At 50.8% G+C, this 14448-nt stretch overlaps 1 protein-coding gene across 3 annotated transcripts in view; it reads left to right on the top strand.

Annotated features, from left to right (window-relative positions):
* The window catches only part of SYNM (synemin), a 36688-nt gene that overhangs the window by 8392 nt on the left and 13848 nt on the right, over positions 1 to 14448 (top strand). For all 3 annotated transcript variants that reach the window (XM_017022035.2, NM_145728.3, NM_015286.6), the window contains exons 2-3: positions 120 to 244; positions 13251 to 13321. In XM_017022035.2, the coding sequence (XP_016877524.1) occupies positions 120 to 244; positions 13251 to 13321 (196 nt within the window). The remainder of the gene's footprint in view (positions 1 to 119; positions 245 to 13250; positions 13322 to 14448) is intronic.

Below are 14448 nucleotides of genomic sequence, written 5' to 3' on the forward strand. Positions count from 1 at the left end.
TTTCTGGTCTGCTAATAACCCTGGTCTGTTTTTCAATTCGATCCTGAATTGTTGGTACCTTCAGTTCGACCCAGTAAAGCTCCAGTTCTCTGATATAAAAGTCTGTCTATTCTCTTTAGAGAGTGATTGACTGCCTGGAGGATGAGAAGGCAACCCTCACCTTGGCCATGGCTGACTGGCTGCGGGACTATCAGGACCTCCTGCAGGTGAAGACCGGCCTCAGTCTGGAGGTGGCGACCTACCGGTAAGGAGACTGTGCTGAGTTGGCCTTGACGAAGCCATGGGGGTGTAACTTGCACATGAAGGAAACTGGTCTAGGGACCGTAGCCTTTGTGGAGTCACTGTGGCTTTGTGACAAGCAGAGAGCAGCCCTTGGCATGGCCAGGCAAGGAGTCCGAGGCCAAAAGGAAGAGGAAGAGTAGGGCTTGCTTAGGTCACTGAGCAGGTGTCTCCAGCAAGGGAGTAGCTGAGCCGTGCCCCCTTACCTAGTGTTTGTATGTTCTGGGGACTGCTGAAGAGCTTCACACATGTCAACGTGTTGGATCCTAGGAACTGGAGACTGTGTTTACAGATGAACAGACTTTGCTCAGAGAAGTTACAGAACTGGAAAGTGGAGGGCCAGGATGTGTTAGTGTGTTTTCACACCGCTATAAAGATCCTACCTGAGCCTGGGTAATTTACAAAGGAAAGAGGTTTAATTGACTCACAGTTATTCCGCAGGGCTGGGGAGGCCTCAGGAAACTTACAATCGTGGCGGAAGGCAAAGGAGAAGCAAGAACCTTCTTCAGAAGGTGGCAGGAGAGAGAGAGAGCTCAGGGGAAACTGCCACTTTTAAAGCATCAGATCTCATGAGAACTCACTCCCTATCATGAGAACAGCGTGGGGAAAATTGCTCCCATGATCCAGTCACCTCCCACCAGGTCCCTCCCTCAACACGTGGGGGTTACAAATCGAGATGAGGTTTGGGTGGGGACCCAGAGCCAAACCGTGTCACAGGATTTGGACCCAGGAAGTCTGTGTCTATCTGCTTGATTGTTGCTTTGAATCTCAGGGCTCTGATGCCACCCTGTGTGGGTTTGGCCCTGAACTGAATCTCTTCCAAGAGATTAGCATGGTGCATGCTAATGTAGGCCAACTGGCTTTATGTATCAAGATGTTGACTTGAGTTCAAGGTAACCAACTCTGATGAAAAGGTCACAAAGCGCTCAAAGGGGCTGGGTGCTGGGTGGGGCAGAGAATGCAGTCCAGTCCCCCTGGGTGTGGCCTGCAGGCCGGCGGAACAGTGCTCCTCCCCTCCTTGGCATCACCCTCCTTTCCCCTGGGTGCCAGTGCGTCTTTGATTGAGGTGGTGCCCCTTGTTTCCTGGCAGCTCTCATGCTCAGGGCAGCTATGAAGGAGCCAGGGTCTGTGACGCTTACAGTGGAAGGAATTTTAGAGACCCAGTTGCCCAACTTCAGGAACACTAACAATAGCCAGCTTTATGGCGTCCTTACTGCCTGCCAGACGTGGTGCTGAGTTCTTTGCCACTATTCTCTGCTCCGAGTCAACTCTGAGGTGGGCACCACTCTCCCCTCTTAGAGGTGAGAGAGAGAGGCCGGGAGGTTGGGGCTGCAGGCTGGTGAGGGGCAGAGCCAGCCAGGTCTGGTGCCAAAGCTGTGCCATCCCCACCAAGCCGTGTAAAAAGGGCACAGTGCCTGCTCCGTTCCCAGGATTGTGGAACATGTGGCAGTGGAGGGTGTGAGCAAGCTGTGGAAACCGCTTTGGCAGAAGAGTCAAAGTCTGGTCATCTCCAGTGGTGTCTCCTTCACAGGTGGCAGATTAAACCTGGAGAGGTTAAGAAGGGGACCAACTCCCCTGGTGAGGGGTAGAGCAGGGACCATCCCCAGGCCTAGTTCAGCACATCTTGTAGGCTGCCTGTGTAATCTTCTGATCATGATTTTTTTTTTCATTTTTTTTATTATTTTTTATTTTAATTTTAATTTTATTTATTTTATTCTATTTTTTTTTTTTTGAGATGGAGTCTTGCTCCATCTCCTAGGCTGGCATGCAGTGGCACGAGCTCAGCTCACTGCAACCTCCGCCTCCTGGGTTCAAGCAATTCTGTTTCAGCCTCCTGAGTAGCTGGGACTACAGGCCCCTGCCACCATTCCTGGCTGATTTTTGTATTTTTAGTAGAGACAGGGTTTCACCTTGTTGGTCAGGCTGGTCTCGAACTCCTGACCTCAGGTGATCCACCCACCTCGCCGCCACAAAGTGCTGAGATTACAGGTGTGAGCCACTGCGCCCGGCCCTGATCAGGATTTTTTGCTCTAAGAATATCAAGGTGACCTGAATTGCTTTGATGTCTATTAAAAGGGTATCTGGCTGATACGTTGCTTGTAGTTTACATTGCAGCCTGGGCCGGCCTCACTGTCTTTATTTTCTGGAAGACTTACATCAGCCAGGGTTCATCTGAGCCCTCACTCCCATCAGTGAAGAGGGAGCAGCTCTATCAGGCAGCCCCTGGCCTGGGCCCCAGGAGGCTGCTAAGGGGTGAGGCCTTCCCAGGGACATGGAGTCCATGGAGGAGCCACGGCTTCACCAAGGGATGAATTGAGGGGTGGTCCTGGGGCTAAGGCCATGAGGGCCTTTCTGGATCCCCCATTTGAGAGCCTTGCTGCCACTGAGGGGCTGGTGGCCGGGGCTCAGAGAAAGGGGAAAAGATGTTGCCAGACTGGACTTCCCAAAGCCCATTGTTGGCATTCTCCTTGGAAATCTTGTGGGGTGAACAGTTGCACAATTAAATTGGTAGGGCATTGAAACACACGTTGAGTTAGATGATCTAAACTTTAATATGGAAAACTTGAAAACACTCGGGCTTTATTTGGGGGAAGAAAGCATTAATCAGGAATTTTTCATTTGTGAGTGACAGAAACTCTCCTCAGACTGCCCCAAGTCAGAAAAAGAATTTATTACTCATATACCTGAAAGTCTTGTGCTGGTCTACTCTGTGTTATGAAGGAATAACTGAGACTGGATAATTTGCAAAGAAAAGAGGTTTATTTTGGCCCACAGTTGTGCAGGCTGTACCGGAATCGTGGTGCTGGCATCTGCTCCTGGTGAAGCCTCAGGAAGCATACAGTCATGGTGGAAGGTGAAAGGGCAGCAGGCATGTCACATGGCAAGAGAGCGAGCAAGAGAGTGGGGAGGTGTCAGGTTCTTTTTTTTTCTTTTTGACATGGAGTCTCACTCTGTCACCCAGGCTGGAGTGTGGTGGTGCGATCTTGGCTCACTGCAACCTCTACCTCACGGGTTCAAGCAATTCTCCTGATTCTCCTGCCTCAGCCTCCCGAGTAGCTGGGACTACAGGCACCTGCCACCATGCCTGGCTAATTCTTGTATTTTTAGTAAAGACGGGGTTTCACCATATTGGCCAGGCTGGTATTGAACTCCTGACCTTGTGATCCACCCGCCTCAGCCTCTCAAAGTGCTGGGATTACAGGCATGAGCCCCTGTGCCTAGCCGGTGCTGGGTTCTTTTAAACAACCAGATCTCATGTGGACTCATAGAGTGAGAACTCACTCATTACTGAGAGGACAGCACGAAGCCATTGATGAGCGATCCCCCCCATAACCCAAACACCTTCCTCTAGGCCCCACCTTCAACACGGAGGTCACATTTCAACATGAGATTAGGAGAAGACACACATCCAAACCGTATCAAATCCTTAGTTTCAGGTACAGCTGGTCCACATGGCGGGATGGTCTCTCTCTTCTGGACTCTTCCCACCACGTGGCTGGGTGGGGCCCGAACAGCTCCAGGCTTAGGGCCACCCAGTCTCGTGCCCGTGGTCATCCTCTCGGCCTCTCCATCTCTGCTGGGTCATGTTCCTGCCTCTGAGCCCATCACTGGCCAGAGGAATGTAGGGCTCTAGAGCTTTGGGTTGGGGTCCCAGCCTCTTATGAGTCACATGGACTGAGACTGGGGTGGTGGGAGTTACCCCAAATCAGGCACTGTTCTAGGGCAGATGCCAGGCAGGCCTGGAAAACTGACTTCTGTGTGTTAGGTAATGCCCCATGCCAGATGAATCTTTTCCCTGCAGGGCAGTTGGATTTTTCTATTTTCTTTCTGTAATAGTTCTCTGAGTTAGAATCAGGAAACTTATTTTGTGCCTTGCCTTTGGAATTTTGAGCTCTTTTCTTCCCTACTTCGTCCTGCCCCCTGTTCTCCATCCTGAAAAGCCAGTGTAAACATGGGCATCCTGCCTCAGAGTCCGGGGCCTGCCTTTTTGGTAGGGTATTCACAAGCCACGGGGCCTGCCTTTTTGGTAGGGTATTCACAAGCCACGGGCCCAGCTTTTCAGGGCATCGATCGCGAGCCGTTTCTGCTCACTGTCAGCAGTCTGTCAGCCAGGACAGAGTTTATTTTGTCTGTCTATGGCTGGCGTTTCCCTAACCCGATTATGGATTGATGTGGCCATCTCCTAGGAATTTAGGAGCTACTCGTGCTTTCAGGGGAGCAAGCGATGGATTTCACTGTACCTCTTTCTGCTGTCCAAGTTTGCATGGGGAAAATGAGGACCCTGCCAGGAGCTTGCCTGACAGGCCCTGCCCCGCTGCAGACTCCCAGCCCTGCTGGGTAGGATCGCTGCAGGCCTCCCGCCTCTGTGCTCCGGTATAGTCTCGGAGATGCCCGTTGACGAAGAAGACATACAGATGGTTGAATAGAACCCATTCTTTTGTATAAGCCAAAAACTTACCATTTTTGAAAATCACCAGTGCATGTCTGGAAGACAAACCCTCGTCATCCTCGATGTGAGTCTTGCTCAGTAGTCTGCACTGCTCCGATTCGGAGGACAGGTGTGAAGTTCCTGTTTGTGTTCGTGGACTTGCGCTCTTCTGACCCTTATTCTTTAACTAAAGTGCTCATTTGATCTCTGCAAACCTTGACCCACCTGTGGTGGCCGTTGCCCCAGAATTGCTGAGTTGACTGTCATCATCCTGTGGCTTATTGGTTCTCATTCACATGCAAGGGAAGGGACTGTGGCTCTTTAATGCTTAAAGCACGTTTTGCTGGGATTTGTCCATTGTCCCAAGGACTCTCAAATGTACTGAACACCTCCCAACCCAGATCTTTGGCCCTTCTAGGTGACTGTCACAGGGAAGGAGCAACATTAAAGTAATCATAAAATAATATAATTGTATACTTGTAATTTCCAGAGAGACTTGCAATTTATAAATAAATATATAATTTAATAAAATAAACATAAGATAATAAAATTAAAACAAAGCAAACCTCCAAGAGTCTAAGACTGGGGTTTTGCCTTTGGCCAGTGCATGGCCAGGGAAGCTGCTGGCAGCTCGCCTGGCAGGTGAAGATGAGATCGAGACCTCTGAGCATCCTAAGACGTGCAGCACCATCCCTCCCTTTCCTCCTGCATTGCGGGTGGCAGTGAGCGGGAGCTGTGGGGCTGGGCGTGGGGCCATGGATACTGAGAAGAGAGGAGACACACCCTGCCTGCAGCTGGCACCAGGCTGTACTGGCTCTTGTCTCCTGTCAAGAGTAGCGGCAGTTGTGTGGGGCTCGAGGTACTGATCCATTTGCTGTATGATCACAGGGTCTTGCCTGGAGTGTGCGTTTTATTGCACTAGCAGCAGAATGGTAAGGGAAACATGCTCGGGGACAGGGAGGGACTGCACCTGCGAATCTCCCGGCCCTCAAGATTCTGATGAGGTTAGTGACAGGTGGAACCGGCACAGTGGTTTCAAACCTCCCTGGATGATTGTCAGGTACCACCAGGGTGGAGAATCCCCGGTCCAGGGCCTCACAGCTCACAGGGCGGCAGCATGCGCATTGTGAGGCATTGCAAGTTTGTTGGGAATGCAGAATCTTGGGCCCACCCAGACATACTGGACCGAAGTTGGCCTCGTAACAAAATCCCAGGTGATTCGTGCGCACACTGCTGTTGGCAGAGTGGCCCAGGCGCAGGTAAGTGCTAGGTCTTCTCACAGCAGCCTGGAAGACAAGATGAAGGATGGGTTGATGGAGGAGAGGGGAAGCAGTCACAGTGGGAGGCGGGGCTTGCACCAGGACCCACGCGCCAGTCTGGGCTGCTTGCAGTTGCATGCGGCAGTCCCCTTAGAGCTGCCCTGGGCCTGTCCGAGGTCACAGAATCCTGTGGAGCCATATGGAGAGGCCACACTTTAGAGAAGGTGATGACTTGGATTGGACAGAATCTGAAGCTCTGAACACCCGAGATGAGCAACACAACTCATTCCTCTTAAGTCTTGTTTTGCAGAGTCATGTCAAAATGAATACTTTATCTAGTTTTCCCAACATTTTGTTATGAGAATTTCCAAAGATAAGAAAAGTTGGAAGAATAACGAATGCTCCATTTGAGTTCTCCAGTGAACATGCGACTACATTTGCTTTATCTCATGACTGTCCACCCCGTGTCATCATCCATCTTACTTTCTGATGCATTCCAAAGTAGGTGCCATTATCTCTGACCATGAATGGGTGACAGGGAGTGACAGCTGCCTTCTGTTTAGTACCTACCATGTGCTAAGCGCTTTGTAGACTGTATCTGCAATTTTTATAGCTTCACCAAAGAAGCTTTTTTTCCATGTGATGACACCCACGTTCAAGGAGGTTACTTAAAACGTTACACAACTCGTAATTGGAGAGCCTGAGATTTTAACTTCAGGCCTTCACCCAAGGCTGTTCCCTCCATGCCCTGTTGAACGTGGAATTAGAAAGGAGCTGGATGTACTGGGATGCTGGGCAGATGATGGTGTGGACCTAGTCCCTGTCCTCAGTGGTAGGATGATGATGTGTCGGGTGCAGTGGGAGGGAGGCTGATGAGGCACGCAGGGAGGGCTTCCTGAAGAGGCAATGCTTGATTCTTGTAGGAAGAGAAGCTGGAAATGACTTTTTGGAAAGGGTTTTCCAGGCAGAGGGAATGGCCAGGGGGAGGCCCTGAGGACTGTGCTAGTGTGGTATTTATGACAGTGCCCGTCTCTGGGCAGCTGGGCTTTGGGGGCGTGTCATGGAGGGCCACGTGTGATGGATGGGTAAGAGCCACACCTGCCCTCAGCCTTCTCTGGAGACAATTGATATGCAGGATACGATGCTGGGTGGGGGCCTGCAAAGACACTGCCAGTGTGGGCTTCACGTCAAGGAACATGGGCTGTAGATGAGGCAGCATGGATCTGGGGAGCCTGCTACACAGCAGGGAACCTGAAGAGCTGCAAAAGACTCCAGCACGAGGCTTCTGGTGATGGGGAGGGAGTTGTGAGAATCAGGGGAGGCTTCTAGAGGGATTGAAGATTGATGAAGGTCTTGAAAGACGGGGAAGTGTGAGCAGACACAGAGGAGAGAGGGAGAGGGACTATAGGGGGTAGTGTGGCAGGAGGGACACAGTATGTTGAGGTAGAAAGTCAAGCATATTCCAGTAATGGAATGCACATTCCTAGGGGGTAGTGTCGATGGTTCACTGCCCCCTAACAGGGAAAGCTATCCATGGGTCACTGCCGGATGGAGCACTTCAGACTGAGGTGATGAGAAGAGATTTGCAAAGGGATGTGGGGTTTGGGCCTTTGGGTGGTGGGGGAAGTGGGGAGATGGGAATTGGACTGGCAGAAAGGAATCAGGAAGGAGCTCCGGGTGGGCAAGTTTGAATAAGAGAATAAGTTGAGGGAGGAACTTGCAAGGGGAGTGAGGAGAGGTCTGGGAATGAGGCAGAGTGCAGGGGCCTTGAACGCTGGGAAGCTGCAGTGGGGCTTTCTGTGGCATGCAGGGGCAGTCCCAGGGCCAGCACTGTGGAGGGGGTAGGCAGTGCTGGGGAGGCAGCTGCAGGCAGAGTGCAGGAGGCCTGCAGTGCTGGGGTGGATGGGGTGTCTGGGTGGCTGCAGGGAGGCTTCCAGAGTTTCCTGCAGTCGCTAGCGCCCAGGCGTGCAGACCTGATGGAGGTGGCTGTGGTAGGAGGGAGGAGCCTGAGGAGCTGAGAGGTAAGGAAGTATGAGAGACACGTGCCGCTGTCACTCGCTGCAGGCTAGCACAGAGTCGGTAAAGCAGGTGCTTGTGAATAATCGGATGATAATTGATGATGAGATGGTGAAAACCCTAGCAATGTCCAGAACCTGCAGCGCCCCAAACCCTCTCACTGCCGATGTGAAGACCTGGTCCAGATCCTACAGAGTGAGGACGTGCAGAAGCACAGATAGAAAAGAAACAGCTTCCCCATACACACACTCAGCATAGAGCCCAATGATCAGCAAGAAGCTGTTAGAAAACAGAACCTTTCAGAAAAGATACTCAATATTGAAACAACAAATGCAAGAATACCCAGGGGTAGACAGTGCAGAAACCACAGAACAGAAGGATGCAGAAACAGTGTGCGTGACATGAGGCCCATCCTAGGTTTCTGGTCTGGAAGACAGACAACGCGGTCTCTGTAAGAATCCAGAAAGAGGCTTTTGTGTTCTATGTTTTGGGGATGAAAGATATGATAATTGTTCTAAATTTCACCTGAAAGAAAAAATGGAAAGCTGGGTCAAAATGATTTTTCAGTAGAAAAATCGAAGGAGGCCTTACCTCGGCAGATAGGAAAATGCAATGCAGAGATTTATTTACTGCCTGGGGCCTTTCAGGCAAAAGTCCTTTTAAAAGGTTAGGTTAGAAACAACAACATCAAAAAATATTGTGTGTGCTGGGAAGGGCATGGGAAGCTTCCTGTTTCTTCTTTCTGATCCCAGTTGGCAGAAGCAGCGTGTTTTAATGGAGAAAAATATGATGTCTCTGGTCTCCATGTAGACTGCTAATGTAGCAACACAGAGGACTCCTAATGTTTACATCTCATCATTCTAGTGATATTTCTGATTGCTCCATTATTTTTTAGGCCACCTGTACCTTTTCACGTGTCTATTCAAAGGAAAACGTTTCTTAGGGGTTTCCTCAAGGTTTTGCAGAAGTACATTTTGTTTTTTTAAGTTAGTTCCCACCTTTTTTTGGAAGACTTATAAAAATGTGTGAACACTGAGACTTATCTAGTTACTAGATAAAATACTTGAAGTGAATAAAAATCTTGTAGTTGTAAGAATAGAGTTGGGCATGGTGGCTCACGCCTGTAATCCTAGCACTTTGGGAGGCTGAGGCAGGTGGATCGTTTGAGCCCAGGAGTTGGAGACCAGCCTGGGCAACATGGTGAAACCCCATCTCTACAAACGATACAAAAACAACTATTTGGGTGTGGTGGCACGTGCCTGTAGTCCCAGCTACTTGGGAGGCTGAGGTGGGAGGATCACCTAAGCCCAGGAGGCAGAGATTGCCGTGAGCTGAGATGGCACCACTGCACTCCAGCCTGGGCGACAGAGCAAGATCCTGTCTCTACATAAATAAATAAATAGAATATATAATTGAAAGGATCGACCAGTACCTTTGGTTGCTGGTCAAATAAATGAGTTAACATTCAGTTAACTATAAAATACAGATGGTCCACAGTCCCTTCCCTTGTTGACTCATTTTAGTTAGCTGGAAATCAGTTTTCTTTGGAGGATGTAGAAGGAGGTGGGGACGACGTGATCGCTGATGTTTAGTGAGCTCTTACTCTGTGACAGCCATGGTTCTGAGAACTTTCTGCTTCTTGATTAATTCCTACTGCAAACCTGTGAGTTCTCTCCATTTCAGAAATAGGGAAACTGAGTCACAGTGGGTTTGAGCGGCCTGCCAGGGTCACAGAACTAGGAAGTGGCAGGTCTCAGATCTGAATCCAGACATCCTGACTCCAGAACTTTGTCCTGCGCTTGCTTCCTCTCTGTTTTATGAGTGATGTTTGTCTCTGTTGATTATCTGGTTTTTTTTTTTTTCAGTCTCTAGTATTGACCTAGAGATGGCTCTGGGATGTGGTTGAATACTGACCCCAGAAGCGATGCCCGGAAATGGCCCAGCACTGCCACGTTACCTCCTGTTATCCTTCCTGTGAAGCCGGTGGTCTCACCTTTCCCGTTCAGGTGGCGTTGCTGGTCATGGGAATGGAACTCCCCTCTGCCCCCTCCCTTCTGTTCCCTGGTCTTCCCGGTGACTGACCAGCCACGGGCCCGCATCTGGGGTGACCCAGGCAGTGCGTCCACTCTGTGTGGAGCTTGGCTTCCTCTGTCGCAGTGAGGAGTCGAGGGAGGCGGCTCTGCGGCTCCTTCTCCAGCTCCGGAGCCTCCCTTTCTTCTCTGCACTTCTCCACCTGCTGTTTGCTAGGAAGCACCCCGTGAATCACCCACAGGCCCCGGCCCCGGCCCCAGCAGGCTCCCGCACAGACACGGCTTCTGGGAACATCCTGACAGTGCCTCATTTATGGGGCTGCACAGAGCAGTGGCCTTGTGCCCACGGTGCTGAGTCACGGCGGATTGTTCAGCAATTCCATTAGGATAATCTATCCCAGACAGAGAGCCTTGCCTTGGAGCCTGCTCAGGACGCCGGGTGGCCCATTAGGGCCTGGCGCCTGGCCAGAGGCCACATGACAGCCGGCTTCTGCACTGTGGGTTTGTCCTGGGCTCCTTAATGAGGCCAGGGACTTGAGTTTTCTTGCACTTTTGCTTATTTTCCTGCATAAGGGGCCACCAACCTGTGGAGCTGTGTGAAATGCCCACAATAGCCCATGACTCAGGGGATTGGCATTTCTCACAGTCCCCGAGGCTTGGGGGCAGATTTCCTCCACCGCTCTCAAAATAACCAGGTTTGATTGCAGCCTCAGAGAACATGCTACCCATTTCTTAAAGTGGTACGAACCTATTCCTTAAAAATGTCCCTTGCAGAGCTTTAGAGGAAGTCGTGGTTTCTGGCTTCTCCTCAGAGTCTTGTTGATGCTTTCGCCGTGTAGTCCTGGGGCTGTGCGGAAGGAGGGTGGCTGCCATTGGGCTGGATGTGCTACCCAAAGCATGAACTCAATGGCCAGTGCCCAGCCGGGTGCTCACAGATAGTAAAGGTGACATGTGTCGCTGCCTGCTAGGATCCGGCCATTGAGAAGGGACACAGATGAGGGATAGCTCCTTCTCCAGCAGGAGCTTCTTACTTATAGGAGAGCTCTGCAGGGCCATTTTGGATGAAATCACCAAGAGAATTTATTTTCATTAATATGGCCCGGAGGGTCTATCTGTAGGATTTGTGCTTTCTGAAATTTGTGTGCAATACCATGGTCTCTGGCCTCACTGGGAGGCCTAGTGGTATCGCAGGGGAGGGGGCTGAGAGCTCAGGCTGCCTGGGTTTGCATTTTTCTCTTTACTGGTGAGCCGTATGCCCTTGACCAAGACGCTGTCTCTGCACCCCAGTCTTCTCACCTCTAGAGCGAGGATGCAGCCACAGGCCCTGTGTTGGGGGTGGCTTCGACGGTGTAAGTACATGAGTGACCACAATGCCTGGTGCTCAGTGTCAGCCAGGGATGGTAAAGGCCTAGAAAGGGGAAGCTGTGGGGCTGTATCTTGTCCCCTGAACCCAGCCAGAAGCCCCACGCAGGGCTGGTGCCTGTTTCGTGTGGGTCCTGAACTCTATGAAGGTTTGGTGATGCTTTGGAATTCTGGAAGAGGAGCAGATGCATTCCCTTTGGAGGGTGGGGAAGACGTATTTTTCCCTGGACAGCAACATACCTTCCGTTCTAACTTGGGCAGCTCAAGGGAGAGGCCCCGTGGTACCCGAGGTTCACAGCTGAGCCAGGCCGGGAGGATCTGAACTAGAACCTAGTCTTTCTCCCCACGCCCTGCCCTGGCTCCTCAGCTGCAGGACGCCACCCCTTCTGCTGCCGTCATCCTGGGGTGCAGAGCCTTGGGGCCTGGCTTTTACCCCGAATGTTCCTCTGATTATATAGACCTCAGAACTTTCTCAGCAGTGAAAGCTGTTTGCGTTCCTGGAACCTACAATGCTTGGTCATGAGGGCGTGGGATTAATGGGTTGGTGTCCTGTTTCCTGGCCTCTGCCCTGAGCGAAGGGCTGGGGCTCTGGACTCGGGCCTCTGCACATGCCCCGTCCACACACAAGCATCCCGCAGTCACTGCGCCGGGGCAGGCCCGCTGTGTGCGCCTTCGCGAGAGTGCCTCATGCCTCCTTTGCTTTCTTCCAGCTGCTCACAGGGCTCTCGTGTTCATGGGGCTCACCATGTTTCAACAGATGGAAATACAACTCAGTGCAGTTTGTCCAAGCTGCCAAGTCCCTGCTCGGGTGTGGGCACCCTGCTCCGTTTTTGTGCCCAGCTCTCAGCCATAAGATTGGCATTTCTCAGTGGGCTCTTGTTCTGGATGCCTTTTGCCGTGTGCAGTGTATTTCTTGGAACCGGAGTTAGTGACTTCACATGTTGCTCTAGCAACTGAGAAACTGTTGCACCCAGAGCTGCCAGCAGCCCAAGGGGTCTTCGCGAGTGACTGGCTGACAGGCATCCCGGTGCTAAGCCCCTCGCCAGCAGGCTGGGTCTGCTGGGACCACTCTCCTCAGCTCTGGGATCTGAAGCAGTAGACGTGAACAACCTAATGAAACTTCTATAATTTTAGAACTTTGGCGCAGACATAGTCAAAGAAATCACCTTGTTGGGTACTTCTCACCATTTTATTAAAGGAGATAACAGGATGCCAATTTGGATGAAGTGAGGCCCCTGGGGGTGGCATGGGGAGGGGCTACTGACGGGGGGCGCTTTAGCACTACCTTTTCCGTCTGCCTGCCTTCTACTTCTTTTTGTCGTCTCCAAGGTGACCCCCTGGAATGCAGTTTGAAACCACAGATGCAGTCTGGCTGCCTTATAAGTGTCAGTCCCTGCCGTCTCCTGGTCAGCCCTCTGCAAGCTGCCCCCACCAGCTGTGACTCCAGGAAGAACCCAGTGGGGGGTGTAGCTGCTCTGGGGCCCTCTAGCCTGGGGCCCACATCTCTCCAGTGCCCCCTTGCTCCTGCTCCTCTTCACCCTGGACTGAGAAAGCTTTCTAGAAGGGCTTGGCTCGCCAGTACTGCCGAAGCCCTGGCCTGGTCATTTTGTTCACTGGGCTAGTAGGGGTTGAGCGCCATGCTGGCTGCCAGGGATGTGGCGGTGAGCAGAGCAGGTGGCCTGGCCCAGGTCTGCTGAGGCTGGTGGGTGGGCTTGCCAGCCCTATGGTGCAGCCCTGCCCAAGTCTCCTCTTCAGGTAGAAGTCCTAAAACAGGTGACACTATGGTCATTGGCCGCATACCACGATACGTTTTATTAGAGGCACTTCTTACTCTTTCGTTTCCTAATGAATTATGTTTGTAAATTATTTTTACAGGGCCTTATTGGAAGGAGAAAGTAATCCAGAGATAGTGATCTGGGCTGAGCACGTTGAAAACATGCCGTCAGGTAAGTAAAAGCTAATGACTTGACTTAGCTTTAGGCATCTGAACTGTTTATTCTGTGGCTAGATAGTAAAGCACCATCATCGGGAAGAACGGGTTAGATATGGTGTTTAGATAACAGGAGTTCATCTCTCATTTAAGTACCAAATAGATTTTAGTTTAGTGTGACATAATTTCAATTATGTGAATGAGAATGTTTGGGAAGGTGCTTGATAAACTTGGTCCCTCTCTCGACAGGATGCAGGAGCGGAAGGGGCTAATGGCACTGGGCAGTGTGAGGGCGAGCAGGAGTGCACCTGAACTTGTGTTTCACACCCCTGGAAGGGACACTCCTTCCATTTCCAGACCAAGGGGTTATGGTTGTTACACCTGTAGAGGGAGGTATGGCCTTGGATGGCAGGCAGGCAGCACTCTGGAACCTGCTACCCTAACAGGAAGAGAGATGGGAATAGTTACATTGTTTACACCACCCTAGGTTGTTGTGAGCAGCTCAGGAAAATGTGTCCTGGTGCCTTGAAGACTACCTTATTGAGGCCAAGAGCCTCAGGACAGGGCCCATCCTTCCTATGGCTGCAGAACTGACATAAGATCATTAATGTTCATTAGAAAGATCCTAAGAAACTGAGGGATAACTTGTTTTTTAACCTTTTAAAGCCCTATAGAATCTTGAAGAGCTCTGGCTAAGCAAGTGTCGATTAAATTACGTATAGAATGTTGAGTTCACACCTTAGGCAGCAGCATGGTTTTAGTCTTCATTGTTTCTTTTAGGCAACTCATGGATTTGACATGTCACTGGGTTGAGAAGAATATTTGGGTTCTAGTCATCTATAACTGGAAGGGATCTGGTCTTAGACAACATGCAGCAAATTTTCTTTCTAATTTTGAGAGTAAGTTTGAAAAAAGCAAAGGTGTTCATGGAAGGGTAGGCATTGGTCAACCTGCCTGGCATCAGTTAACGTGTGACATCTATAAAACAAGAATTAACTCCCCAGATTTCAAGGTTTACTTAGTTACCTACATTTTTAACCTGTGGATACCTAAGTTTGGACATCCATCATGTAACCTAGAGAGAGGGGAGAAGGAAGAAAAGGGCCCAGGAGCTCCGAGGAAGACCAACAGTCTAAGCCAGGG

Source organism: Homo sapiens, chromosome 15, assembly GCF_000001405.40.
Source record: "Homo sapiens chromosome 15, GRCh38.p14 Primary Assembly".
In the NCBI taxonomy this organism is placed as follows: Eukaryota; Metazoa; Chordata; class Mammalia; order Primates; family Hominidae; genus Homo; species Homo sapiens.